Source organism: Homo sapiens, chromosome 12, assembly GCF_000001405.40.
Source record: "Homo sapiens chromosome 12, GRCh38.p14 Primary Assembly".
In the NCBI taxonomy this organism is placed as follows: domain Eukaryota; kingdom Metazoa; phylum Chordata; class Mammalia; order Primates; family Hominidae; genus Homo; species Homo sapiens.
Genome location: NC_000012.12, coordinates 49,789,594 through 49,815,649, shown reverse-complemented (window position 1 = coordinate 49,815,649; position 26,056 = coordinate 49,789,594). Strand labels below are relative to the sequence as shown.

Sequence of the window (26,056 nt, the reverse complement as noted above, 5' to 3'; positions counted from 1 at the left end):
GGTGTAGCAGCACACACCTGTGGTCCCAGCTACTCAGGAGGCTGAGGCATGAGAATCGCTTGAGCCGAGATCACGCCATTGCACTCCAGCCTGGGCAACAGGGCAAGACTTGTCTTAAAAAGAAAAGGAAGCATGTTGAAAGAAGGACCCAACCTGAAAGATTCTCAATGGCCAATGGCCATAGCTGGAATTTGAGCAATGAAATGTGATAATATTATTGGATTATAACCCAAAGATTAAAATAAATATCCAGTTCATCCATACCAATATAAATACATGATTAAATGGGATGAAGGGACAATTATTCCTTATAGAAAACTTGCAATTAATAAATATAGAAGGAAGATAAGAAATTGAAAATTATGTTTTAGAGCACCATAGTAATTGCTACAAGCAAGATCCACTGATTTTGGTAAAAAAATTGCTGGGTGAAAATTTAAGGAGAAACAGGATATTTACATAGTCCAAAGTATTGCCCCCAAAAATATTTAATTACAAAAGGAAAAATAGTGACTTTATAATGGAGAAACCAATTAATAGATACTGCCTAACCAAGTGATGAGGTTAAAACATCACCAGGAACAAGAAACCTTGATATCATGTGTGTCCTCAGATATAATGCCCTGGGGAAGGCATATCACCTCCGTGGTATTCTTCTCAAAGCATATAACCTCAGTCTAATTAGTGAGAACATCAAACAACCCAAATTGGAGGACATTCTCCAAAATGTTGACCAGTCCCTTCAGAAGTGTTACAATGATGAAAGGTAAGGAAAGGTCGAGGGATTGTCATGAATTGTAGACACTAAGGAGACTGGGTGACCAAGTACCCTGTGGAATCCTGGATTGGATCTTGGAACAGAATATTGATAGAAAAACGGATAAGATCCATATAAAGGCTATAGTTTCATTTTCTAAAAATTGTTCTGCTAAAGAAAGATGTGGAACCATGAGAACGTGCTACTATGTCTTTTTTTTAAGTATGTATTTATACATAAAGTAACACATAGGCACACAGAAGAAGAGGTGGAAGAGGGGTGGGAGGAGCAGGGGAATGTAATAGGCAAGGGAAAAGTCATCCAGGAAGAAGTGGATACCCTCAAGAAAGTGAAAAGACAGCCCACAGAATGGAAGAAAATATTTTCTTTTTCTTTTTTTTTTTTTTTTGAGACGGTGTCTCACACTGTCGCCCAGGCTGGAGTGCAATGGCACTATCTCGGCTCACTGCAGCCTCCACCTCCCGGGTTCACACGGTTCTCCTGCCTCAGCCTCCCGAATAGCTGGGATTACAGGCGCACACCACCACACCCAGCTAATTTTTTGTATTTTTAGTAGAGACGGGCTTTCACTATGTTGGCCAGGCTGGTCTCGAACTTCTGACCTCGTGATCCGCCCACTTCGGCCTCCCAAAGCGCTGGGGTTACAGGCTTGAGCCACCACACCCGGCTGGAAGAAAATATTTTCAAATCATATATATATATATATATATAAATATAAAATAAAGGACTTGTATCTAGAATATGTAAAGAATTCTGAAAACTAGGCTGGGCAAAGTTGCTCATCCCTGTAATCCCAGTGCTTTGGGAGGCCAAGGCAGGAGGATTACTAGGAGGAGTTCAAGATCAGCCTGGGCAGTATGGCAAGACCCTGTCTTTACAAAAAATTTTAAAATTAGCCAGCTGTGGTAGTCCTAGTTACCTGGGAGGCTGAAGTGGGAGGACCACTTGAGCCTAGGAGTCTGAAGTTACAGTAAACTATGACTGTGGCAGTGCACTCCGGCCTAAGTGATAGAGCCAGATCTTGTCTCTTAAAAAAAAAATGTAGGCCAGGCGCAGTGTCTCATGCCTGTAATCCCAGCACTTTGGAAGGCCGAGGCGGGCAGATCACTTGAGGCCAGGAGTTGGAGACCAGCCTGGCCAACATGGTGAAACCCCATCTCTACTAAAAATACAAAAATTAGTCAGGTGTGGTGGCACATGCCTGTAATCCCAGGTACTCGGACGGCTGAGACAGGAGAACTGCTTGAACCCAGGAGGTGGAGGCGGCAGTGAGCTGAAATCGCGCCACTGCACTTCAGCCTGAGCGACAGAGTGAGACTCCATCTCAAAAAAAGTAAAAAATAAAAATAAAGAATTCTCACAATTAGATAATAAAAAGACACAATCCCCAATTTAAAAATCAGCAAAAATTTGAAAAACATTTCTCCAAGGAAGAGATGCAAATGGCCAATAAGCACATGCAAAGATGTTTAACATCATTAGTCATCAGGGAGGTACAAACTCAAACCACAATAAAATCTCACTTCACACTTACTGGGTGGCTGGAATCAGCAGATCAAATAATAAGTGGTGACGGTATGGAGAAATTGGAACCCTCATACACTGCTGGTGGTATTATAAAATGGTACACCTGCTCTGGACAACAATCTGACAGTTCCTCAAATGATTAAACCTGCAATTATTATATAACCCAGCAATTCTACTCCTAAGTATATACCCAAGAGAAAGGAAAACATACATCTATACAAAAACTTGTGTAGTGATCCACATTTGCAGGGTCCAACCAACTGTGGGCCAAAAATATTTGGGGGAAAAATCAATTAAAAAATAACAATAAAATAAAAATAATACAATAATACAGTAACAACTGTTTACATAGCATTTACACTGTATTAGATATTATAAGAAGCCTGGAGATGATTTATAAAGTACACCAGAGGAAGTGTTTAGGTTTTATGCAAATACTGTACCATTTTTTATATAAGGGACTTGAGCGTCCTCAGATTTTGGTTTTTGCAAGGGACCTAGATCCAATCCCCTGGGGATGCCAAGGGATAACTACATAAATGATCATAGCAATATTCATAATAGCTAAAAAGTGAAAACAAGCCAAATGTTCATCAGTAGAATGGATGGATAAACTGTGGCTGGCCCATACAGTGGAGCACTGTTCACCCATACAAAGGAATGGAGGCTGGGTGTGGTGGCTCATGCCTGTAATCCCAGCACTTTGGGAGGCCAAGGAAGATCACCTGAGGTCAGGAGTTCGAGATCAGCCTGGACAACATGGTGAAACCCCGTCTCTACTAAAAATACAAAAATTAGCCAGGCGTGGTGGCGGGCGCCTGTAGTCCCATCTACTCAGGAGGCTGAGGCAGGAGAATTGCTTGAACCTGAGCGGCGGAGGTTACAATGAGCCAAGATCACGCCACTGCACTCCAGCCTGGGCAACATGAGTGAAACTCTGTCTAAAAAAAAAAAAAAGATGAAAACCAAGCAAAAAGAATGGACTACTGATACGTGCAACAACATGGATGAACCTTGAAAACATCATGCAAAGTGAAAGAAGCCAGTCGTAAAAGGCACCAATGATATGATTGAATTCACATGAAATGTCCAGAATAGGGAACTCAATAGAGACAGAAAATAGATGAGTGGTTGCCTGTGACTGGGTGGGGAGGGGGCAGTGTTAAGGAAAGGAACAATAAAAGCTAATAAAAGTGTTCTAAAATTAACCATGTTGATGATTGCACGTATCTCTGAGTATACTAAGAACCACTGAATTGTACACTTTCAGTGGGTGAATTGTGTGAGACATGGACTGTCTCAAAGCTTAAAAAAAAGTCCAGGAGGAAGTGGTCACAGAGGTCTTATACCTGCGATGGCAATGAGGACTGAAAAATATTGTTTGGATTTAGCATCGTGGTGGTTACCACTGAAGTCGGACCAGGTTAAGGGAACAATGAGAAGATGGTTTTGGGATTTTCTTTTTTGTTTTTTGAGAAGTTTGGCTTTGAAGTATCTAGAGTATTTTTTGAAATTTGGCAGTATCTGGGAAAATGTCAAGCAAAGATTGTTGTTTTTGTTTGTTTAAGAGAATAAAAAGGGTCCCTCTTTGTCGCCCAGGCTGGAGTGCAGCAGTAGCCGGGTCATAGCTCGCTGCAGACTCGGAGTCCCTCAAGTGATCCTCCCACCTCAGCCTCCCAAGTAGCTGGGACTACAGGTGTGAGCCACTGTGCCCAACGAGAAGATTGTTTTTAAGATTTAAAGATTTTAAGTTTTAAAGGGTAGATGAGAAAGCTGTCTTCAGGAGGTAGATACTGAAGACGTAAATGGGGAAAGTCTGGGACAAGCAGGACTGGCTTTGCCCGGGAGCAGGCAACTCATCTGCTGTAATAGTGGATGAGGAGGTGGGGAGGGTTCCGAGGGGGATGGGAGGGTGGCGGCAGGAGGTGTGAGGGGGTTCCCCTCTGCTGGCTTTAATCCTCTGGGGAAACAGGAGGGTGGTAAGCCAGAAGTTATAGGAGAGTGGAGAGGGTGTGTGCTACTCATGGCACAGAATGAGAGAGCAGCTCTCTTACTTGAGCTGGGCAGGATTGCCAGGCTGGACTGACAGTGGGGCTGAGCTGGCCTTCTGTGGTGGGGAAGAGAGTGAGAGAGCGCGTAAGCACAAGCCTGGGGACAGGAGTCCCTTTGCAACACCCACTCCTTGTGGAAAGAAGCATTGTCCTAGAATACGCAAGTTGAGGAATCCCAGGGAACTTCTTGAGCTCGCATGTGGCTATCTAAAATTAAATGTAAAATTCAGTTCCTCAGTTGGACTAGCCACATTTCAAGTGTTCGGCAGCCAGGTGTAGCTAATAGATAGCTTCCATGTTGGATAGTACAGACTAAGCATGTTCATTATTACAGAAAGTTCTACTGGACAGCACTGTTCTAGAAAAATGACTCCAACTTTTTGGTCTGAGGACCCTTCTATACGCTTAAAACTTGAGGACCCCGAAGAGCTTTTGTTTATAAATGTTATACTTACAGTTATTTAATTAATTTGTTTAAAAATAGCAATAAACCCATCACATGTTAACATATTTTATTTAAAAATTTAATTGTATATGTTCCAAAAACACAAATAATAATAAGTCATTGTTCTCTATTTTTGCAAATTTCTTCTGTCTGACTTAATAGAAGGAAGCTGGCTTCTCCTGTCTGCTTCGGTATTCAATCTTTTGCGGTATCACACAGCATAGTATCTGGAAAATGCCACTGTACACTCAGGAGAGAATGAGAGTAATAAAGGCAGATAGTGTCTTAGTAGTAGTATTAGGAAAACAGCTTTGACCTTACAGACCCCTGGAGAGGGCCACAGGGTGCCTAGGCCCCACTGTGGGAACCACTGTGGCAGAACAACAACCACTTGGCGTGAAGAAACTCATCTCGGGGAGACGGAATGATTTGCCTAGTCACACAGCACATAAGTTAATTGCAGAGTTCGAACTGGACTCCATGCCTAGACTCTTCTGCCTTCCGGTCTAAGGCTGTTTCCAGTACCCTCGGCTGGGCTAGGACGGCCTGGGCTGGACTTTTGGGAGTGGGGCCTGGGCCACTTGGCTGCAGAGCCCCTGGTGTGTGGTCCTATAAATAAACCCATTGTGTCGGCACCCCTTCCCTCTCCCCACCCCCTTCCCTCCCCCCACCCCCGGCAGCTGCTAGTTTTGTTACTGGGTTATGCTGTGGACAGGGAGCAGGAGGGCTCTGAGGGAGGGGAGATGAGGGATGTTGAAATCTGGAGGCCTTTGGGGCTTATAACACGACTGCCCTTCCTTCTTCCCTTCCTGGAAGGGCCGAGGACCTATCCTGCAGCTGGTTTGGAAGAACTCACACCATGGTGGTTGAGGTGCTTGGAGTGCCTGTGAAACGGAAGTTGGGGGGATGTAGGGGGCCCCTTCCAAGACAGATGCCTCTCAGAAGGGCTATTGTGTCTCCAGTACCAGTTGTCAGGAGGAGGGAAGGAAATTCTTGTCTGCCCTCTTACCCTGAATGGGGAGGAGACCAGTTGGAATTCTCAGGGCTGAAAGATGCTTTGGGTCAGGGATTAAGTGGCCCCTTTCAGGCTAGAAGTGCCCTGGGAGCCAGGCCTCAGTCCTCCTATCCCTCCCCACACTCCTCAGCAGCCCAGGGCTGATCTTGGCTGGAAAGGGTGTTTGCTGTGGGGACAGAAGTTGCTGTTTACAAGTGGATTCTTGGGTGTGACTGGTAAAAGGGCTGGGAGGGTAAGAGGGATTCCAGAAAGCAGCTGGGGAGGGTGCGGAGGGAAGCGGTTGGTGTTACGGGTGATTCTGTGATTAAGTGAGCTCTCCATCTCTGCCTTCCTACAGCTGCCCACCCTCCCCCACTCCTGGTCCCTGGCTTCTCTCCCTAGAGGACTCTGGGGGGAACAGCTGGTGAATGAGGGGCTCACCAGGGGCCAGGAGGCCTTGGCTAAGGGCCGGGGTGAGGGAATGAGGACAGGCTTGCTGCCGCCTGCCTCTCCAGCCCCTTCCTCCCATGCCTGGTCTCTGTTCAGGGAGGGGTCTTGCCTGTGCCCTGCTGGAGAGGAGGTAGGAGCCACAGACCCCTTCTGGTCTGGCTAACTGAAAGGCCAGGACAGTAAGATCTCTTTGGAGGCCCTGAAAGCCCCTGTCCCCTCCTGGCTTTAAGGGGGAAGGGAGAGCTGGGGCCCTCCGTGACTGACTTGGCTGAAGAGATGGTGGTCGCCCAGGTTACCCAGAGACCCCTGAGCAAGTTTCCTCCTTCCTCGGCCCTGGCTGCCTGAAAACTGGCCCCCTCCCCACACCCTCTGAAGGACGAGCCAGAGAGGACTCCGCTCTTCTCCCCCCTCCTTCTCTCCCTCCCCCTGCACTGAGGTCACCTCCCTCAGAATCAGGCCTTTGTGGATGGCAATTCCGGCGGGAGAAGCCTCCAGTTCAAGTTAGAGTTCCCAGACCCTGCCTGGCCGGCACTGTGTGTCCAGACCCAGCGTCCCAGACGTGTTGGGGCCACCAGAGGAATGTCTGAAACCAGAGCCATTCCAAAAACCCGAAGCCTGGGGTTTTCCCTGCCCCAGGTCGGGCTGAGCTCATGGCTGTGAGCAGGAGCTGTGGGTCCTGAGGGAGGAGGCGGTGCTCAGCCCCTGGGGAGGCAGCAGGGACCACCACTGCGAAGCCTGCCTGGGCAGGCATCCCCCATGAGAGGCAGGCAGAAAGCCCAGACTCCAGAGGGCCACATTCCTGACTTGGCTTCGATTTGGAGCTGGTGGTGGTGGTCTCTCTCTGGATCTTGACCTTCCCTAGAGAAGGGTAAGGACGCAGGAAGTTTTCTTTAGAAATCTTGAACTCAGACTCTGGGCCGACTCTCATGGCCCGTGCTCCTCCCCACCACCAAGCTTTCCTGCAGGTCTCTTCCCCGTGACAGCTTCCTGCCCTCCACTGTGACGGCCCTGCAGATGCAGAGGAGGCCCCCTCATCCTGGGCTGACCCCAGACCCCCTCGCTGTGAGGCCAGAAAGTATTTCTCCTGAAGAGGGGCTGAGTCCTAGCCCCACTCCAGCTGGGGCACTCTGAGAAGAAGAACTGTGACCACTGGCTGGCTCATAAATCGGAGGGTCTCCCCCATTCTCAGTGGAACTCGGGCCTCCTGGCCTGGGATTCACAGGGGCTCAGCTGTGGATCGGGGCCATGCCTGGCTTTGTGTGGAGTGTGTGGGGTCTCCATGCTCCTCAACACAGAAAACCACTGCGTGCACACATAGAGAGTCCGCAGCCAGTCCTCACAGCCTGGCCTTGCTCTTAACCTGGATGCTTTTTTATTATTTTGGGAAAAGATACTCTACATTGTTTCGTTGTTGCTTTCTTGTGAAGAACACAAATCTTAGGGTTTCCCGGTCCTTAGCGTTATCCTTTTCCAGACCCCGAATGCTGCCTTCTTCATCCCATTCCTTTCCCTCACCCTCCCAACTTTTTTCTCTTCCTCCACAGCATACCTCAGCCACACCCTAGCCCCTCTGATGGTGAGGGGATTGAGGGACACGCTGGGGACCGATGGGCAGGTTGCTGCAGGCAGTGGGAGGACAGTGGCCCAGAGACCAGAGTTGTGGGTGAGGGTGGCACTGGTCAGATGCTGGAGGTGACCTGAGACATTCTGGGTTTCACCCCATTTGAGTGTGGGAAGGAAGATAATTCTTAAATATTTTTCATTTTTTTTCCAGGCCTGTATATTTCTAAGTCTATCAAACGTGATAATGTTATGAGCAAACCAAGTTAAATATGATACATTTTTATGATGTTAAAATAAAAAACTTCAGATTATTATACAGTATTAACAATAAGCATTAGAGGCCAGGCACAGTGACTCGTGCCTCTCATCCCAGCCACTTGGGAGGCTAAGGCAGGAGATCACTTGAGCCCAGGAGGCCAAGGATGCAGTGAGCTATGAACGTGCCACTGAACTCCAGCCTGGGCAGTGAGGTGAGACCCTGTCTCTTTAAAAAATAAAAAAATCAGTATTAAACAGGTCTTCCTTTTCCTCCAAGTGTTTTCAGAAGTCCCCTTCCCACTGTTGTGTACACACACACACACACACACACACACACGAAGAAGCATTCTCTCTTTTCACTGTAATCCCAGCCCCCAAACATCCAGCTGCTTCTCTTTCTGGGGTATAGAAGAGAAGAGGGAAGGCAAGGCTGGCCCTGGGGCTGGAGGGCCGGCTGGGAGGAGTTGGAGAGGAGGCCTCTGAGGGCAGGGTGGGCAGAGCAGCATTCTGAGATCTTCAGGTGCCCCTATAGCGGAGACCCCTGGGTAAGGGCCCTGGGACTCGGAGTCGGCCTCTGTGTGAACGGACAAGGTAGCAGCAGGCTCCACAACAACCCCATAGCTTTGTACTGTGCCTCTGTCAGCAGGTGATGATATGAAAAGTCTCCATTTATGGAATTCACGCCAGACACTCTACATATATTATCTCATTTTGTCCTCCAACAACCCTTTGGGCTAAGTGTTCTTATCCCTGTTTTACAAGTGAGAACAAGAGAAAAGAGATTCTTTAGTGTCAGATTTCTAGCCCAAGTTTCTAGCCTCCAGGGAGCCTTAGGGCTGTACGGAGCTTAAATGTCTGTTTTACTGTGGAGCTTACAGTGAAGCTTGGGTGTGTGCAGAGGAGTGGGAAAATCTAGGCCTGTCTGGTGTGCTTTGTGAAGTAGTCATGTGACTTGGGCAATATCCTCTGCCCCAGAGCCTGCCTCCTCCCGCAGGCGGGTGCTCCCCTTCCAGGGTTGTTAGGAGAACTGGATGGGATGGTGTGGAAGAAAGCGCCTGTGCTATTCATCACACTGGGTAAACACAGTGTGTGCAAGTGTAACTTTCTGTTCCTCGGTTTCCTCATCTGAAACACAGGCACTGATAATAGCATTTAACATTGTTGTGGTTAACTGTTGAGCACGAGGCAAGACAATGTATGTTGTAGAACCGGGTTGTAAAGTACCAGGTGTGACTTTTCAGTCTCCTCTGTTGTCTGATGATTCCTGGCTGAGAGATGGGGACCTTTGCACTGGCTCTTTCTGCTGTCCCAAATGCTTTCCCATTCCAGGATTTCATCTGGACTTCATTCAGGTCTCTGCTTAATTGTCATCTCTCAGTGCCTTATCACAACCCAACGCTGTACATTGTCGGCCTCGTCCAATAGAGTGGAAGCATCATAGCGGCTGGGCTGTCTCTGGCTGTTCGTCCCGTGTCCCAGTGCCTGGCACATAGCAGGAGCCCAGTAAGTGCGTGGCTGACGTCTTTTTTTTTTTCTCCACAGGCAAGGTGACCGTTCTGGATGCTAGAGTGAGTGTGCCCACCTGCGTAAGGGGGCAGAGACAGGTGAGGGGCTTTGGGGCCTGTGCATGCTGGGGGTGGGAGAGGCACCCCTGGGCTCCACTGTGGAGGATAAGGAAGCAAGCACTCAGATGGCTCGATGGTGAGCTGCTGAGGACACCTCTCTCCTATAGTCCAAAAGCTCCAAGCCTTTTTATTTTTGTTTTGAAACGGTCTTGCTTTGTTGCCCAGGCTTGAGCACAGTGGCGATCATAGCTCACTGCAGCCTCGAACTCTAGGGCTCAAGGGATCCTCCCACTTCTTTTTTTTTCTTTTGGTAGATGCGGTCTCAGTATGTTGCCCAGGCTGGGCTTGAACTCCTAGCCGTAAGCCATCCTCCCACCTTGGCCTCCCAAAGTGCTGAGGTCACAAGGCATAAGCCACCACGCCCAACCCCATTTTTCTTTTGTGGGGGCTTCAATGGCACAAGGGGTAGTCAGTGATGGACCAAGCTTCCACCCTTTTATAATAGGAAGGGTTGCCCATCTACTGGAAACCTCCACAATATTTGTATGAAAGAAAAACAGCATTTTTCTCTAGCAGAGAAATTGGAACTCAATTGGAAGATGAAGACTAGTCAGTTCAAGCTAGCAACAATGGCAATGGTTTGGTGGGGTGGGAGGATCCCATGGTGTGATGCAGGTCTGAGCCCTGGCCGTGCTGGATGTGGTCATGAGCTTCGTCTAGTCATCAGTCTGTCTCCTACATGCCAGGGATCCCACCAGGAGGCATGTGAGTTTGGATGGGGAGGCAAATGCAGTGTTCCTGCCCTCACGGAGTTGACTGTCTGGTGGGGGAGGCTGGTGTACAATCTTGCAGGAGCATCGCCTGGGAGCCCTGAAGGATGAATAGGGAGGAGCTGGCCAAGTCGAAAGGAGCGGGTGGTGTCAAGAGACCCCAGCAGAAGGACCATCGTGCACAAAGAGCCTGATCTGACGGGGCCTAGCTCCTGCCAGGGCAGTGGGTGCCTAGTGAGGCTGGAGCTAGAAAGCAGAGCCCCGGAGGGGTGCAGGGCACTTCCCACTTTGTCCAGGAGGAGCCTGAGGCCCAGGGATCGGGACCTTGCCCTGGGATAACCCAGCAAGTGAGCACTGGAGCCAGAGCTAGAGCTAAGGGCGCCAGGCCCCAGGCTCAACTGTATTCTCCCCATGTGCTGAGTCGTGTTCTCAGGGTGCTCTTCCCTACGTGGTCACATTTGACTCTCACAATGACCCTGTAAGGGAGGAAGAATTCTTCTGCCCATTTCTCAGAACTAGGAAACTGAGGATCATCTGGTTGACCGAGTGAATGAATGAGCTCGGTTTTCATATGTTCACCCAGTTCATACTAAGCAGAGCCAGGCAGAGGCTTTTGGCCGCAAAGCCAGGGTTTTATCCATTGTCTCCACTATCTAAAGCATGTGCCTGCTCCAGGCAGGGGATCACCGATGCCCAGGACAAAATCCTAGTTGTCTTACTTGTTAAATTAGTTTAAATTATTATTACTGTTATGAGTAATAACGGTCTTGTGTTTTAAGTGTTTTTTTTTAACTTCTTCAAATCACTTTCACAGACCTAATCTTTGTTTGCAAACACTGAATGAGATTAGGGGATATTGGTGTTATTTTACAAATAGAGGGACTGAGACCCAGGGAGGCTGAATGACGTGCCAGCTTGAGGCCAGTCCCAGTAGAGAAATCAGGTTTCTTGTGTGAGTATGGGGCTTTCTAAAACAATGGTCTCTGTTCTTAAGATGAGGAGAGTATCTGTGTTGTCTGCCCCGTGACCGTGACCAGGAGATACCCAGCCTGGCCCTGAGTTATTACAGTGTCATGCATATAGGTCACACTGACCTAAGCTCCAAGGAGACTAAAGGGTTTCATCTTTGTCCTCCTCCTTCTCACTTCCTCCTCATTCCCTGGAGTAGCCTGCCGGGGCTTCTCTTCCTTGTTCCCAGGGCCAGATGTCAGAGGCCATGGACCAGCCAGCTGGGGGTCCTGGAAACCCAAGGCCAGGAGAGGGTGATGATGGCAGCATGGAGCCAGGCACCTGCCAGGAGCTTCTGCACCGACTGCGGGAGCTGGAGGTGCGGCATGGGGCGTGGTAGGGGCAGCAGTGCCAGCCAGAGCCCTGGGGAGGCAGGGCTGCCCCTCCCTCTGAGCTTCCTGCAGGTTTTTGGGTGCCATGGGCCTTCCTCTCGGCCTGCTTTGCCAGGCAGGAGGCTAGCAGAACATTCTTTTGCAAAGCTCCTCTGAGAAGCCCTTTCCTTGCTCTTAGCTGCCCGGCCCAGTGACGGCTCGGGGACAAGAAGCATGCACAGGGATGAGTGTCCTAACCCCCAAACACCTCCCTTCCTTACCTCTCATGCCTCTGCAGGCTCTAGGAAAGGGGGTGGTCAGAGGCCACAAGAGGAAGAGGCTGGATGGCCCATGGCTCAGGAGTTGAGGGATAAGGGTGCAGATCCTCAGACCACACCCCTCACCACATTCTTAACACCCTGTCATCCTCCCTAAAGCCTCCTCTGCCCGTCTCCCAGGGAAATAAGGGTTACTGTGGGCACCTCCCACCTCAGGTCTACTTGGCCACTGTATCCCCCAGAGCCCCCATTGCCACTGACTGAGGTCGGGGTTTATAGAAAACCATCCCAGGTCAGCCCTGCCCTCCTGCTGCCCTTGGCCTCTGCAGGATTCCTCATATGAGAATCTGCTCACAGCCAAGAGCTGGAGTGGGGGTATAGTTAGCACCCCTGTAGTTGCCTCCCCTTTCCCAAAAGGAATGTGCCCTGGGGGAAGAATAATCCCCAAAGCCACCTTTTTGCCCTCTTCCTCCCTCACTCCTGCAGGCAGAGAACTCGGCACTTGCCCAGGCCAACGAAAACCAGCGGGAGACTTATGAGCGCTGTCTGGACGAGGTCTGTGGGTCTGTAGTGGGACTGGGGGGATGTGGCTCATCTGCTCCTGGCAGAAGCTGGGGTCAGCTGATGGCTCTGCCTCGGGGCTTTCTGTCCCCAGGTTGCCAACCATGTGGTACAGGCGTTGCTGAACCAGAAGGTGAGTAACCCAGACACCCTGGGGAGAAGCCCTGGGCACAGCAGATGAGACCCTTCCTGGAGACTAAGGGCTTGGAGGACATGGGCTGTTGCCCTCCAGTGATTCCCCGTCTTTCCGCCTTGGGCGGGTCCATTCTGTTCTACCTAGAGACAGAGGTGGGACTAGGTAAGGCCAGGTCTCTGAGCAGTGGTCACTGATTTGAGCATGACTTCTTCCCTTACCCTGTCCCCAGCTGGCTTTTCCAGGTTGTGATAGCCCTTAAAGCAGTGTTGATGTTGTGAGCCTAAATGGCATCTGAATATTTACTCACCTATGGTGGATAACTTCTTGACATTGGGGCCACTTTAACTCCAAGGCCTTGCTCTGTCTTATATAGGCCCTTTTTTGATGTGTGGTTTCTAAGAGGCAGAGGGCCAGGCGCGGTGGCTCACGCCTGCAATCCCAGCACTTTGGGAGGCCGAGGTGGGCAGATCACGAGGTCAAGAGATCAAGACTATCCTGGCCAACATGGTGAAACCCCGTCTCTACTAAAAATAAAAAAATTAGCTGGGCATGGTGGTGCACTCCTGTAGTCCCAGCTACTAGGAAGGCTGAGGCAGGAGAATCGCTTGAACCCAGGTTGTGGAGGTTGTAGTGAGCCGAGATTGCACCACTGCACTCCAGCCTGGCGACAAAGTGAGACTCCGTCTCAAAAAAAAAAGAAAAAAAGAGGCGGGGGGTCGATTCTAGGGATGAGAAAGATAACAAAGAGAATAGGATTTACCTCCCACCAGGGGTGATAAACTTTAGAGAATTTACCATCCCTAGAAGATGCTATAGCTACCAACATCGGCAGGCTTAGATTCCTCATAGAAGGAGGTTGCAGCGGAAGTGTGTGCCCAGAAGGGTCCTGGGGCCTCCAGACAGATGCCGCTGCTCTGATGAAGAGCACTGTGACACTCTCCCACCATCCTCACCTCTTCTTCCTGCACTTCCCGGGGTGGGCGGCAGGACCTGCGAGAGGAGTGCATCAAGCTGAAGAAGAGAGTGTTTGACCTGGAACGGCAGAACCAGATGCTGAGTGCCCTGTTTCAGCAGAAACTCCAGCTCACGACAGGCTCGCTCCCTCAGGTAGGCATCTGCGCTCCTTTCACTCCCATCGCACTGCCTCCTGCCTCCTCGGCTCCATCGGCCCCATCACTGTCTTCTCACGTGCCCCTAGGGAAGCAGGCCATCAGCTGTCCACCTTCCATTCTGGGGGTATGGAAACTACCCAAGTCCCCTGGGTTTGGCCGTTCCCTCCTCCCAGTGCTCCCCACCAGCGGGAGGGTGTCCCTTCTTGTTGACAGAGCTTTGCACTTGCTCCTGCCTTGGGTGGGGAGATGGGTGGAGTCTGCAGATGCAATTATTTCAAGCTTCCAAGAGGCTTATTTGGCCACTGACACAGCCTCTTCTTGGCCGGGCACAGGGGTAGGGCTGGGTGTTAGGCAGCCTAGGGTATGGTGTCACAGAGAGGTCAGGAAAGACATTTCGGTTCTGATAACTGTTCACAGACAGTCTCTGCTGGGAGCCCTGACACCTCCCTTCCCCAGGAGAAGCAGGAGGCTATTGGGAGTGACTCCTGGGCTGAGTTAAGGTGTCACTTGAGGTTACTCTGTGAGGAACCCCCAAGGATGGGGTAAGACATGGGGGTGGGAGGATCAGGAGCAGCTCCAGATGCCTGAGGTGAGCAGCAGGTTGTTTCTGAGGTTAGCCAGCCCCTTCCCCTCACTTTGACAAGAAGAGAAGCACTTTTCTGTGTGTGTGTATGGGGGAGGGGGGTGTGCGTGTTTGTGTCTGTCTGAGGCAAACTGGGCAGCTCTTGGCCCCCAGCCCCTGAGCAGGCAGCCCCTCTGCTCACTGGTAGCTTGGCCCTTGCAGAGGCGGCCCCTTGTCACCATGGCCACTCTGGAGCCCCCGTCTCGCCAGGTTGGCACAGAGCTGGGTCAGAGTCCACAGCAGTGACTCTGCAGTTCTCCTTGCCCTAGATCTGTCCCTGTGGCAGGGTTCACCCTGGAATCCCCGGAGGCCCAACCACAGCAGCTCAGCCCACCCCAGCACACTCTTCTCAATGACTGCTGATAACAGAGGGGTCGAGTGTCCTTAAATCATTTACTTTTTACCTAAATGAATTCTGGAACCTCATGGGGTTTGGGCCAATAGATTTATCTTCCCCAGAGGTAACATGACATAATGGAAAGAGCACGAAGCTTGGCCTCGGATAAACTTGGGTTGGATCCCTAACTTAGCTACTTCTTAGCTGTGTGACCTGGGGCAAATTACTAAGGTTTACAGACTATAGTTTTTTCTTTACAGATAAGGATAAAAATACCCATATTGCAGTTGACGTGAAGATTCAATGAGATGATGTGTCGCGCTTGGCCCACAGTAGATAGTCAGTCAGTGGCAGCTGTTTATGATGTGATTCCCAGCTTGTGCTTTGCTAGGGTGAAAGCCCCTTTGCACAAATGCCAATTAAGCTCTTACTGTGAGCAGTGCCTTTGACAACACGTATGGAATTGGACTGCATCACAAGGCCCTGTCTAAGGGCTGAGGCCTCTGCAGGCCAACAGGAGCCCAGGACCCTGGGACTGTTGGGAGCTCAGGGAGGTAGAGACGCCATGCCACAAGGCAGAGTGTGACAGTGCCGTCAAAGAACCCAGGGGACAGTGTGGGGAGGCCATCAGAGAAGGATGGAAATGACAGTGGAACTGGGCCTTAATGGATGGATGGAAGATTTTTTTGAGATGGAGTTTCACTCTTGTTGCCCAGGCTGGAGTGCAATGGCGCGATCTCGGCTCACCGCAACCTCTGCCTCCCGGGCTCAAGCGATTCTTCTGCCTCAGCCTCCCGAGTAGCTGGGATTATAGGCATGCGCCACCATGTCCAGCTAATTTTCTATTTTTAGTAGAGACAGGATTTCTCCATGTTGGTCAGGCTGGTCTCGAACTCCTGACATCAGGTGACCCACCCGCCTCTGCCTCCCAAAGTGCTGGGATTACAGGCATGAGCCACCATGCCCGGCCGGATGGGAGATTTTAAGAGTGGAATGGGGACTGGGGCAGAGGGATCCCTGTGGAAAGAACAGCATGAGCAAAGATCCAAGGGCAGGGAAGCCCAGAGAGCAGCAAGCTGTGCAGCTTGGCTGGAGCAAAGTACGTGTGAAGGGACAGTGAGGGAGACAGCAAGGTGGAGACGGTGGCATGGGAAGAGCTGGCCAGCCAGGCCCGGAATGCCTGCAGAGGAGTTCACACTTGTTTCCATGGGCAATGGGCAGGCATAGGAGGCTTTTGAGCACAAAAATGCTTTAGAAAAGAAAATGAGGCCGAGCGCGGTAGCTCACGCCTATAATCCCAACATTTTGGGAGGCTGAAGAGGGAGAATCACTTGGGCCCAGGAGTTCAAGACCAGCCTAGGCAACATAGCAAGACACCATCTGTACAAAAAAAAAATTTTTTTTTAATTAGCCAGGCATGGTGACACGTGCCTGTAGTCCTAGCTACTCGGGAGGCTGAGGCAGGAGGATTGCTTGAGCCCAGGGGATCTAGGCTGCAGTGAGCTACAGTCGTGCCACTGCATTCCAGCCTGAGTGACAGAGGCAAAACCCTGTCTCAAAAAAAAAAAAAATCTCATCTCATTGTTAGAGTTTATAGTTTAAAGAAAAAAAAAGATGCTTGAGGTTCTCTTGTGCACAGGAGATTGAAAGACCACCAAACCAGGTCAAGGAGACTGAATGAGATGCTGAGTAGTGCAGGCCAGAGGCAGGAAGAACTGGGCTGGAGGCGCTGCTGCAGCTGGCCATAGGTTGTGGGGCAGGGGGCCTTGAGGGGCGCTGCAGAGACAGGGTTTAAAGGCTGTGAAGAATGAGGGAGAGGGAGGAGTTAAAGCTGACTTATATCTAGCCACAAGATGCCCAGGAGAAGGAAATTACATTCTCAGGGACTGAGAATGATTAAATCCTGCCTTTTCAGTCCTCAGAGTAGATGTTCCACATGAGACCAGGTAGGGGAGACAGAAATATTATAACTCCCTGCCATCTCTTTCCTAAGACCATCTAAGACCATTTATCTCAGCTGTCCCTATGATCCTCAGATCCCAGGTGGTCAGAACAGGAAGAGACCTTTGCGGTAACCCTCTTTGTGAGAGGAGAGGAAGCCCCACAGAAAAGTAAAGCAGGCCTGGAGCTAAGAAAGGCACCCAGAGTTAGACTGGCTGTGGCCCTCTGGGCTCGGGACATTCATGTTTCTCCAAAGCCCTCTGACCAGTCTCACTCTGAGACCCTAGATCTGCCTGTGCTGTGGTCTCCTGAGGCTTCTCTTACCGGTGGGTGGGGCAGCAGCAAGAGCTGCATTTGGGGCTGGGAGTCTGGGAGTCCTCCGTGAAGGAGCGGACTCAGAGGGGAAGGCCTGGCTTTGCGAGGGAGTAGGGAGCTGGGGTCAGACAGCTACTGTGCTAACTCTGCCTCTCCCTCTGCAGATCCCACTCACTCCACTCCAGCCACCATCAGAGCCACCAGCCTCCCCCTCCCTGAGCTCCACTGAGGGACCGGCTGCCCCGCTGCCTCTGGGGCACTGTGCTGGGCAGAGAGAGGTAGGAGGGCTAGGTATTGTGGTCAGTACTCCACTGATGTTTCCTAGCAAATATCTGGAGAAGGGCTGTTTCCCAGTGCTCAGACGTTTGTCCAGGCTGGAAGTGTGAGCAGCCGAATGCCAAAAAAAGCAGATCCCCAATCCTAGCCACTGGCCCTGTGAGCAAATGCATTAGTAATGCATTAAGAGGCATGGTTAACACTTACTGAGCTCTTACTGCATGCCAGGCACTGTGTAGAACACCCTGGATCTCATTTGTCTTCTTTAGTGAGGTTAACGTAATAATCATCCCATTTTACAGATGACACAATGAAGCAGCTTAGAGCTCAAATAACTTGAAGGCCCTATCAATAGGCAGAACTGGAACTTGAGCCTACACAGGCTGACTCCAGAGCCTATGGGTTGCCCACTATACCACACTATGCTACACCTGAGAAAGGGCTGGGCATGGCGTCACCCCCAACCCCTTTCTGCTGGGGATGAGGTCAGCGGGGTCAGCTGTGTTCCCTGAGGAGGCCTGGGTTTGCCTATAGTGACTGACTTAGGACTTGGCCACATCACACTCCCTTCTGGAGTCTGTGTGTTCTTTCTGGGCCCGAGAAATGGACAGGCCTCCCTCCCCTGGGACAAACACAGAGGTCAGAGTTTTAGGTGGTCAGCCCTGCTAATCCAAATGGCTGTGGGGAGTAGGGGCTGGGGCAACCAAGAAAAGGATGTAGGGTGCCTGCCCAACCCCAAGTGTGCCAGGAAGAAGAACTGGGGTAACCAGTGTTGAGCAACCCTTGAGGAAGCGGAACCATCATATCCCAGTTGCTGTTAATTCCTTTTGGGGACACAGACACAACCAGGCCAGCTCTGTTCCTGGCATTCCCTGTTAAGCCAGCCCAGGGCCTGGGCCTGGAACTGGATCCCAGCTGTGTGTGGTCTCCTCCTCATGCCATCATCTCTCCCCTAAGGTATGTTGGGAGCAGCAGCTGAGGCCAGGAGGCCCAGGCCCCCCAGCCGCCCCACCCCCAGCGCTGGATGCCCTATCCCCGTTCCTTCGGAAGAAGGCCCAGATTCTGGAGGTGCTGAGAGCCCTGGAAGAGACTGACCCCTTGCTTCTCTGCTCACCTGCCACCCCCTGGCGGCCTCCAGGCCAGGGGCCTGGCTCCCCAGAGCCCATCAACGGCGAGCTGTGTGGCCCGCCTCAGCCTGAACCCTCACCCTGGGCGCCCTGCCTGCTGCTAGGCCCTGGCAACCTGGGAGGCCTGCTGCACTGGGAGCGCCTCTTGGGGGGTCTGGGAGGGGAAGAGGACACTGGGCGGCCCTGGGGTCCTAGCAGGGGACCTCCTCAGGCCCAGGGCACCAGCTCTGGCCCAAACTGTGCCCCAGGCAGCAGCTCCTCCTCCTCTTCTGATGAGGCAGGTGACCCCAATGAGGCACCCAGCCCCGACACCCTGCTCGGTGCCCTGGCCCGCAGACAGTTGAACCTGGGCCAGCTCCTTGAGGACACAGAGTCTTACCTACAGGCCTTCCTGGCCGGGGCTGCAGGCCCACTCAATGGGGACCACCCAGGTCCTGGGCAGTCATCCTCCCCAGACCAGGCGCCCCCACAGCTGTCTAAGTCCAAAGGCCTCCCCAAGTCAGCTTGGGGTGGGGGTACCCCAGAGGCCCACAGGCCAGGCTTCGGTGCTACCTCAGAGGGCCAGGGGCCCCTCCCCTTCCTTAGCATGTTCATGGGTGCTGGGGATGCCCCACTGGGCTCTCGGCCTGGCCACCCCCATTCCTCATCTCAGGTGAAAAGCAAGCTCCAAATTGGCCCCCCTTCTCCTGGGGAAGCTCAGGGACCCCTTCTGCCCTCTCCAGCTAGGGGTCTCAAGTTTCTAAAGCTGCCTCCAACCTCGGAGAAGAGCCCCAGCCCAGGAGGCCCGCAGCTCAGTCCCCAGCTCCCCCGGAACTCGCGAATCCCCTGTCGGAACAGTGGCTCAGACGGCAGCCCCTCCCCACTGTTGGCCCGAAGGGGTCTGGGTGGAGGAGAGCTGTCCCCAGAGGGGGCGCAAGGCCTGCCCACCAGCCCTTCACCCTGCTACACAACCCCAGACTCCACACAGCTCAGACCCCCGCAGTCAGCCTTGTCCACCACGCTGTCCCCAGGCCCAGTGGTGTCTCCCTGCTATGAGAACATTCTGGACCTTTCTCGGAGCACCTTTAGGGGGCCTTCCCCAGAGCCACCTCCATCCCCACTGCAGGTGCCCACCTACCCACAGCTAACTCTGGAGGTACCACAGGCCCCTGAGGTCCTCAGAAGCCCTGGAGTACCCCCCAGTCCTTGCCTCCCAGAATCGTACCCCTATGGGAGCCCCCAAGAGAAGAGTTTGGACAAGGCAGGCTCGGAGTCTCCCCATCCCGGCCGCAGGACCCCAGGCAACTCATCCAAGAAGCCCAGCCAGGGGTCAGGACGGCGACCTGGGGATCCTGGCAGCACACCTCTGCGGGACAGACTGGCGGCCCTGGGGAAGCTGAAGACAGGCCCCGAGGGGGCCCTGGGCTCAGAGAAGAATGGGGTGCCAGCCAGGCCTGGCACCGAAAAGACCCGGGGACCTGGGAAGTCAGGGGAGAGTGCTGGAGACATGGTGCCCTCCATCCACAGGCCACTGGAGCAGCTAGAAGCCAAGGGGGGGATACGGGGGGCAGTGGCCTTGGGCACAAACAGCCTGAAGCAGCAGGAACCTGGACTTATGGGGGATCCCGGGGCCCGAGTCTACTCCTCTCACTCCATGGGGGCCCGGGTGGACCTGGAGCCTGTCTCACCAAGGAGCTGCCTCACCAAAGTGGAGCTGGCCAAGAGCCGGCTGGCAGGGGCCCTGTGCCCCCAGGTACCCCGTACCCCTGCCAAAGTGCCAACCTCAGCCCCAAGCCTGGGCAAGCCCAATAAGAGCCCTCACAGCAGCCCCACCAAGCTCCCTTCCAAGTCACCAACCAAGGTGGTGCCTCGACCTGGGGCTCCGCTAGTCACCAAGGAGTCCCCCAAGCCTGACAAAGGGAAGGGCCCTCCCTGGGCAGACTGTGGTAGTACCACGGCCCAGTCCACACCCCTAGTACCTGGCCCCACTGACCCAAGTCAGGGCCCTGAGGGGCTGGCCCCACACTCAGCCATCGAGGAGAAGGTGATGAAGGGCATTGAGGAGAACGTGCTGCGGCTCCAGGGCCAGGAGCGAGCCCCTGGCGCCGAGGTCAAGCACCGCAACACCAGCAGCATCGCCAGCTGGTTCGGCCTTAAGAAGAGCAAGCTGCCAGCGCTGAACCGCCGCACAGAGGCCACCAAGAACAAGGAGGGGGCTGGCGGGGGCTCCCCGCTCCGGAGGGAAGTCAAGATGGAAGCCCGGAAGCTGGAGGCCGAGAGCCTCAACATCTCCAAGCTGATGGCCAAGGCGGAAGACCTGCGTCGGGCACTGGAAGAGGAGAAGGCCTACCTAAGCAGCCGGGCCCGGCCACGGCCTGGTGGCCCAGCCCCAGGGCCCAACACGGGGCTGGGGCAGGTGCAGGGCCAGCTGGCTGGCATGTACCAAGGTGCAGACACCTTCATGCAGCAGCTGCTAAACAGGTGAGGTCCTGGGATCAGTCAACAGGGGCTTGGTGGGCTTGGGGCACTTTTCCCTTCGTGGGCACACCTGCGTCTGGAGCTAGGCCTGCTTTTCCTGGGAGCTGGGGCTTCCCAGAGGTCAAAAGGGATAGAAGGCCACCAAAGCAGCTGGTGGGGGGGTCAGTGACTTGGCCTGGAGGAAAGATCAGGGGCTTGGCCTCATTGCTGGCTTCTCATTTGAGAAGAGTTAACAGTCCACATCTTCCTGGATGGTCTCCATACCAGATGAGGCAGCCTGCATGTGATAGTTAAGTGAAGGCTAGAGCCTAACTATGGGCTGATAAAGGTCTTCTCCCTCAGGAAAGGGATAAGGGGAGTCCTCTTCCCATCTTGCCCTTTGACATCTGCCACAACAGGAGTTGTGGTTTAAAGAAGGGATCCACCCATCTTGGGGTTGCTCTGTCTGGGCCAGATGAGGCAGAAAGTCTGCAGGAATTGGGCCCCAGGTAGGGTGCGTGGTTTGGACCGCAGGTGTGCTCAGAAGTTCAGCTAGAGCAGGTGGAGTGTGTCGTTCATGGACCAGGATGTGACCGGGTCTGCCAGTCTACCTGGAATCACCATCAAGCAGTCTCTAGGCTTGACCCTGGATAACTTTCAGGGAGTTCTCCCATCTTCTCCCCTGCCCTCTGTTCCTCTGGGGTTCCCTAAGGTCCTTGCCTGTTGCCAGTGTCAAGAAGGGTGTTGGGAGCAATCACTAGCGACATGTCCCCTTCCCCGGGGGTGGATGGCAGGAAGTGCCTCCCTAAGCCCAGCACCATTGGCGGGTGCAAGGCTGGAATGTCTGGGCAGGCAAGACCACCCTCACCTATATCTGCACTGTTGCCCATAGGGTGGATGGCAAGGAGCTGCCATCCAAGAGCTGGCGGGAGCCCAAGCCTGAGTACGGGGATTTCCAGCCGGTGTCTTCTGACCCCAAGAGCCCCTGGCCAGCCTGTGGGCCCCGGAATGGCCTGGTGGGCCCTCTTCAGGGCTGCGGAAAACCTCCTGGAAAGGTAAGTTCTTGGGGTAGGGACTGGGTGGACGGCCTGGCTCTCTGGCCCTGCCAGGTCTCTTACCCCCTAGAGGGTTCCCCTTCCCCAAGACCATGAGTGCCGGATGCACTCACAGTCTCTACGGGGAGACTGGGGAGGGGAGAGGGGCTTCCCAGTCTGCAGGGGCTCTCAGATCCATACTCCTGGGCCCTAATCCTCATACTCTCATATGTTTACAGACACATTCCCACCCTCTAGAGGCATGGGGAGGGGTGTGGAGGGGGGAGGAGTGGACTATGAGGTCTCCTGTATCCCACACAGCCGAGCAGCGAGCCAGGGAGGCGGGAAGAGATGCCCTCGGAGGACAGCCTGGCCGAGCCAGTGCCCACCTCACACTTCACAGGTCAGCAGGGTCAGGGGCTGAGGATGGGCCTGCCCCCACCCCCCTACCCACTTCTTCCCACTTTACTTCTTCCCGTCCCCGCAGCAGGTGCCAGGCTCTGTGTGCCATCTTGGTGCCAAGCACCAGGTGGGCACTGGAGCTACACAGGAACAAATCCTTCCCTGCCCTCAGGGTACTCGCCCCACCTACACCCCTTCCCCAAGCCCAGGGCAGGTGGGGTTGGTGGACAGGTGCTGTGGAATGAGCCTGTTGGGCCAGGAGGGGCCCTGAGTAAGGGTGGAGCCTGGGCTGGGCGGGAAGTGGAGGCAGGCCGGGGACTGAGCCCAGCCTCACACTCTTAACGGGCCCTCCCCTCCCCTCCCCAGCCTGTGGCTCCTTGACTCGAACCTTGGACAGTGGCATTGGGACCTTCCCACCCCCAGACCATGGTAGCAGTGGGACCCCCAGCAAGAATCTTCCTAAGACCAAGCCACCGCGGCTGGATCCCCCACCTGGGGTACCCCCAGCTCGGCCCCCACCCCTTACCAAAGTCCCCCGCCGCGCCCACACACTGGAGCGGGAGGTGCCAGGCATAGAGGAGCTGCTGGTGAGTGGGCGGCACCCCAGCATGCCAGCCTTCCCTGCACTGCTACCCGCTGCTCCGGGCCACCGGGGCCATGAGACCTGTCCTGATGGTGAGTGTCCAGGTGGGAGGGTGGGATGCCCCTGGGCATCCTGGAGCTGCCCAGGCAGCTCCATCCACCTTCCCTTTGTTCCTGGACAGATCCCTGTGAAGACCCAGGCCCCACCCCTCCTGTCCAGCTGGCCAAGAACTGGACCTTCCCCAATACTAGGGCAGCCGGCAGCTCCTCGGACCCTCTCATGTGCCCACCCCGACAACTGGAGGGGCTGCCCAGGACCCCCATGGTGAGAATTGCAGCAGAGGAAAGGGAAAGGACTCGGGAGCAGGAGGGAGTGATGTGGGGAGACCAGTTTCTCCAGTAAGGTACGGCCTGTGTGTCGCACAGTCTCAGTGCTGCACCCTCTGGGAGGAGGACCCCTGGGATGCCCTGTGAGCGGCCCTCCCCACTGCCCTCCTTGCACTTCTCTCGTGGGGAAAGGTTTCTGTCCCTCCCCAGAACCTTGTAGGACTGTTCTCAGTTGTACCTCCAGCCTGTTTCCTCTGAAGTATACCCCACCTTGGGCCCCCTCTGGAGCAGCCCCCCATCAGGTGCACAGACGCCCCTCAGAGCTCAGTGCCTCTGAGGCTGGGCCGAAAGGTGGAGAGGAGCTTCCTCCCGAGCTGCCCCTCCTTTCCCAGGCCCTGCCCGTGGACCGGAAGCGAAGCCAGGAGCCCAGCCGCCCGTCCCCTACGCCCCAGGGCCCACCTTTCGGGGGTAGCCGCACCCCCAGCACTTCGGACATGGCCGAGGAAGGCAGAGTGGCCAGCGGGGGCCCCCCAGGGCTGGAGACCTCGGAGTCTCTCAGTGACTCACTCTACGACTCGCTGTCCTCTTGTGGGAGTCAGGGCTGAGGGGCTGCGCCACGCCACGGCCCCGCTGGAGCTGGGGACCACAGACTGGACCGGCTCTCTTCATGCCCAGCCCCCGGAGACGGGGACCCCTCCCTGAAGGGACCAAGGAGGCAGGTGGATAAGAAGGTGAAAAGGGGGTCCCTGGCACACCCCACCACCCACTGCTTCGGCGGATGAGATGACCGTGCTCAGCTCAGGGAGAGACCCCGCCCTTGGTCCCTTCTCTCACCCAGAGTAAGGCTCTTCCTGGAAGGGACTGGGGGTTAAAGGCCACTGTGTCGCAGCCCTCCAGTCCCTACTTCAGGCTGAGCCATCTTGTGGTGCTGGGCTTCCTGCCCACCAGCCGTGCCATCTCTGCCCAACCCGGCTGCTCCTCTGCCCCGAAGCCCTCGCGAGGCCCTCCTGGAGGCCCCCGTGCTGGTGGAGTTTGGGGGCCAGGGGGACAAGTTGCCTTCTCTCTCTGCCCTGGTCCTCCCTGCTGTCTGGATGGTGCTGCCCTCCTCTGCCCCATGCCTTTGGGGTCTGTTCGTCCGTCTTTTTTGTTGTTGTTTTTATATATTGAAGCGCCTGGCCCAGCCCCCAGCCCCCAGCCCCGCACTGCGGTTAATTTATGTGTTGTTTAAAATGCGGCTGCTCTGCTTCCTGCCTCTGCTTCTGCCGTATCCCTAATAAAATGTGGAGGCCCCCTCCCTGCCCCTGAGTCGGCTTGTTGTGTGGGAGGACTCAGGCAGGCCAGGTCGGGGGACACTGCATGGGTGCCAGGTTGAGGGACCCCAGGCCCCCTTGTGACACAGCCCCCTCACCAGGGCAACTGGCTGGAGTCATCCCAGAAGGTAACTGAGGGTTGGGAGAGTAGGGCCTGCTTAGGCCCGGAAGGGTATCTGGGCTCGGAGAGATTCTCCTGGGCCAGGGCTTGGGCACGGCGCGAGGCTGGGTGGCCCCTTGGAGAGGGAGCTGGGGAAGATGGCTGTGGACATGCACTCAGGCCCCACGTGTCCCAGGCTGGGGGGGACATGCAGACTCTGAGTAGAGTTGCATCTCTTCTCCAGACCTTGGTTTTCCTCCTCTATAGAAGATTAGAAAGTTAATCCAGACGAGCTGGTCCCATCAGCCAGACTTTCTTCTCAGCATTCTCCTCTTCCTACCCCTTCCCCAATTCTCTTCCTACCCCTTCTTAGTTAATATCATCATTGAAGAAATTAACAAGACGGAGAGTGTCAAGTCAGATGTCTGGGTTTTTTTTTTTTTTTTTAAGTCAGTATCCCATTTTCTTACCTCTTGTCTTCTACTTCCAGATTCCTATCCCACTGTCCTATCTTTTCTGCTTTTATGGGCTTAAGCATAATATTACCAAGCTGTAAATCTGCTTCTTGCCAGGTGGGCTTCAAGAGGTCTACCTCCTTCCCACTTTTTATTTCTTGGTTTTTCAAGCCCTCTTCTCTGCTTGAACTTGGTAGATTACCTCATTTCCTAGTTAGAACAGAATTGTTTGCCTGCAGGATATTTCTCCTATTTCCTTCTGGGGAAGGAGTTTGGCATAGTAGGTTTGATGCAGGACTCCACCTCTTTCAAGCTGAGACCAGAGGGTCCATCCGCATTCTTACCACCAGGGTCTGATCCATCTGCCTAGGCTTTATTCTCTGGTGTTTGCAAATACAAGGCGTCACCTTGGTTTCCAGGGCAATGTGGGCTGACTGACCAAGGCAGGGCAGGTGGCATCAGTCACACCTGACGCCTGGAGGCAGCCATTGCCTACCAACTGTTCCATGGTGGGAAACTTCCTAAATCCCCCAGCATTCTGCTAAGAGACCCTGGATCCAGATGAGCCACCCCACAGCCTACATAATTGTGTGCCCTTCACACAGACCCAGTATTTTATCTAAAATGATTCTGTGGAGGAGGACATGCAGTTGAGTTTAAAGACACTCCTGGGGAATCAATTTCTTGCACTTCAAAGAAAGGTTAGGCTAAAAGACCATTTGATCCTTACTAAGGCAGAACACTTCATATCTCAGTTTGCAACATCTTCCTGCAGAATTCAGGTAAATTCACTGTTTTCTCCAAGAATAATAGGTGAATGTTTGCCTTTGCAATGTGCAAGACCCATTCTGCTGGATTTTCCAAACAAAGGAAGACAAAACTGCCAGGCCACCTCCCCCATCCCCCAAAATGGCATCAAGGCATCAGCAAAAGATTATGACAAGGCTTCAGGTTCAACTTCACTGGGCACTTTGCCTTTTGCAGG

General features: G+C 53.6%; 1 protein-coding gene across 6 annotated transcripts in view, besides 2 other annotated features; it reads left to right on the top strand.

Annotated features, from left to right (window-relative positions):
* NCKAP5L (NCK associated protein 5 like) overlaps window positions 1–24,498 on the top strand; it is a 37,262-nt gene extending 12,764 nt beyond the window's left edge. For 2 of the 6 annotated variants that reach the window (XM_006719525.3, XM_011538611.3), the window contains 12 exons: window positions 9,609–9,670; window positions 11,600–11,728; window positions 12,485–12,553; window positions 12,654–12,692; window positions 13,683–13,802; window positions 17,187–17,300; window positions 18,256–20,885; window positions 21,754–21,916; window positions 22,217–22,298; window positions 22,664–22,972; window positions 23,062–23,204; window positions 23,599–24,498. In XM_006719525.3, coding sequence (XP_006719588.1) covers window positions 11,606–11,728; window positions 12,485–12,553; window positions 12,654–12,692; window positions 13,683–13,802; window positions 17,187–17,300; window positions 18,256–20,885; window positions 21,754–21,916; window positions 22,217–22,298; window positions 22,664–22,972; window positions 23,062–23,204; window positions 23,599–23,811 — 4,005 coding nt within the window. In that variant the 5' untranslated portion in view covers window positions 9,609–9,670; window positions 11,600–11,605 and the 3' untranslated portion in view covers window positions 23,812–24,498. Of the gene's footprint in view, window positions 1–9,608; window positions 9,671–11,569; window positions 11,729–12,484; window positions 12,554–12,653; window positions 12,693–13,682; window positions 13,803–17,186; window positions 17,301–18,255; window positions 20,886–21,753; window positions 21,917–22,216; window positions 22,299–22,663; window positions 22,973–23,061 lie in introns of all 6 variants that reach the window. The other 4 variants (NM_001037806.4, NM_001368048.1, XM_005269050.4 and 1 more) reach the window with 3 other exon arrangements.
* Window positions 13,793–14,293: an enhancer, noted in NCBI's record as "H3K4me1 hESC enhancer chr12:50195140-50195640 (GRCh37/hg19 assembly coordinates)". NCBI's record gives its function as "activates a minimal SCP1, AML or CMV promoter by ChIP-STARR-seq in naive H9 embryonic stem cells {active_cell/tissue: H9 hESC(naive)}" and the evidence as "EXISTENCE:reporter gene assay evidence [ECO:0000049][PMID:30033119]".
* Window positions 24,061–24,903: an enhancer, noted in NCBI's record as "H3K4me1 hESC enhancer chr12:50184530-50185372 (GRCh37/hg19 assembly coordinates)". NCBI's record gives its function as "activates a minimal SCP1, AML or CMV promoter by ChIP-STARR-seq in naive H9 embryonic stem cells {active_cell/tissue: H9 hESC(naive)}" and the evidence as "EXISTENCE:reporter gene assay evidence [ECO:0000049][PMID:30033119]".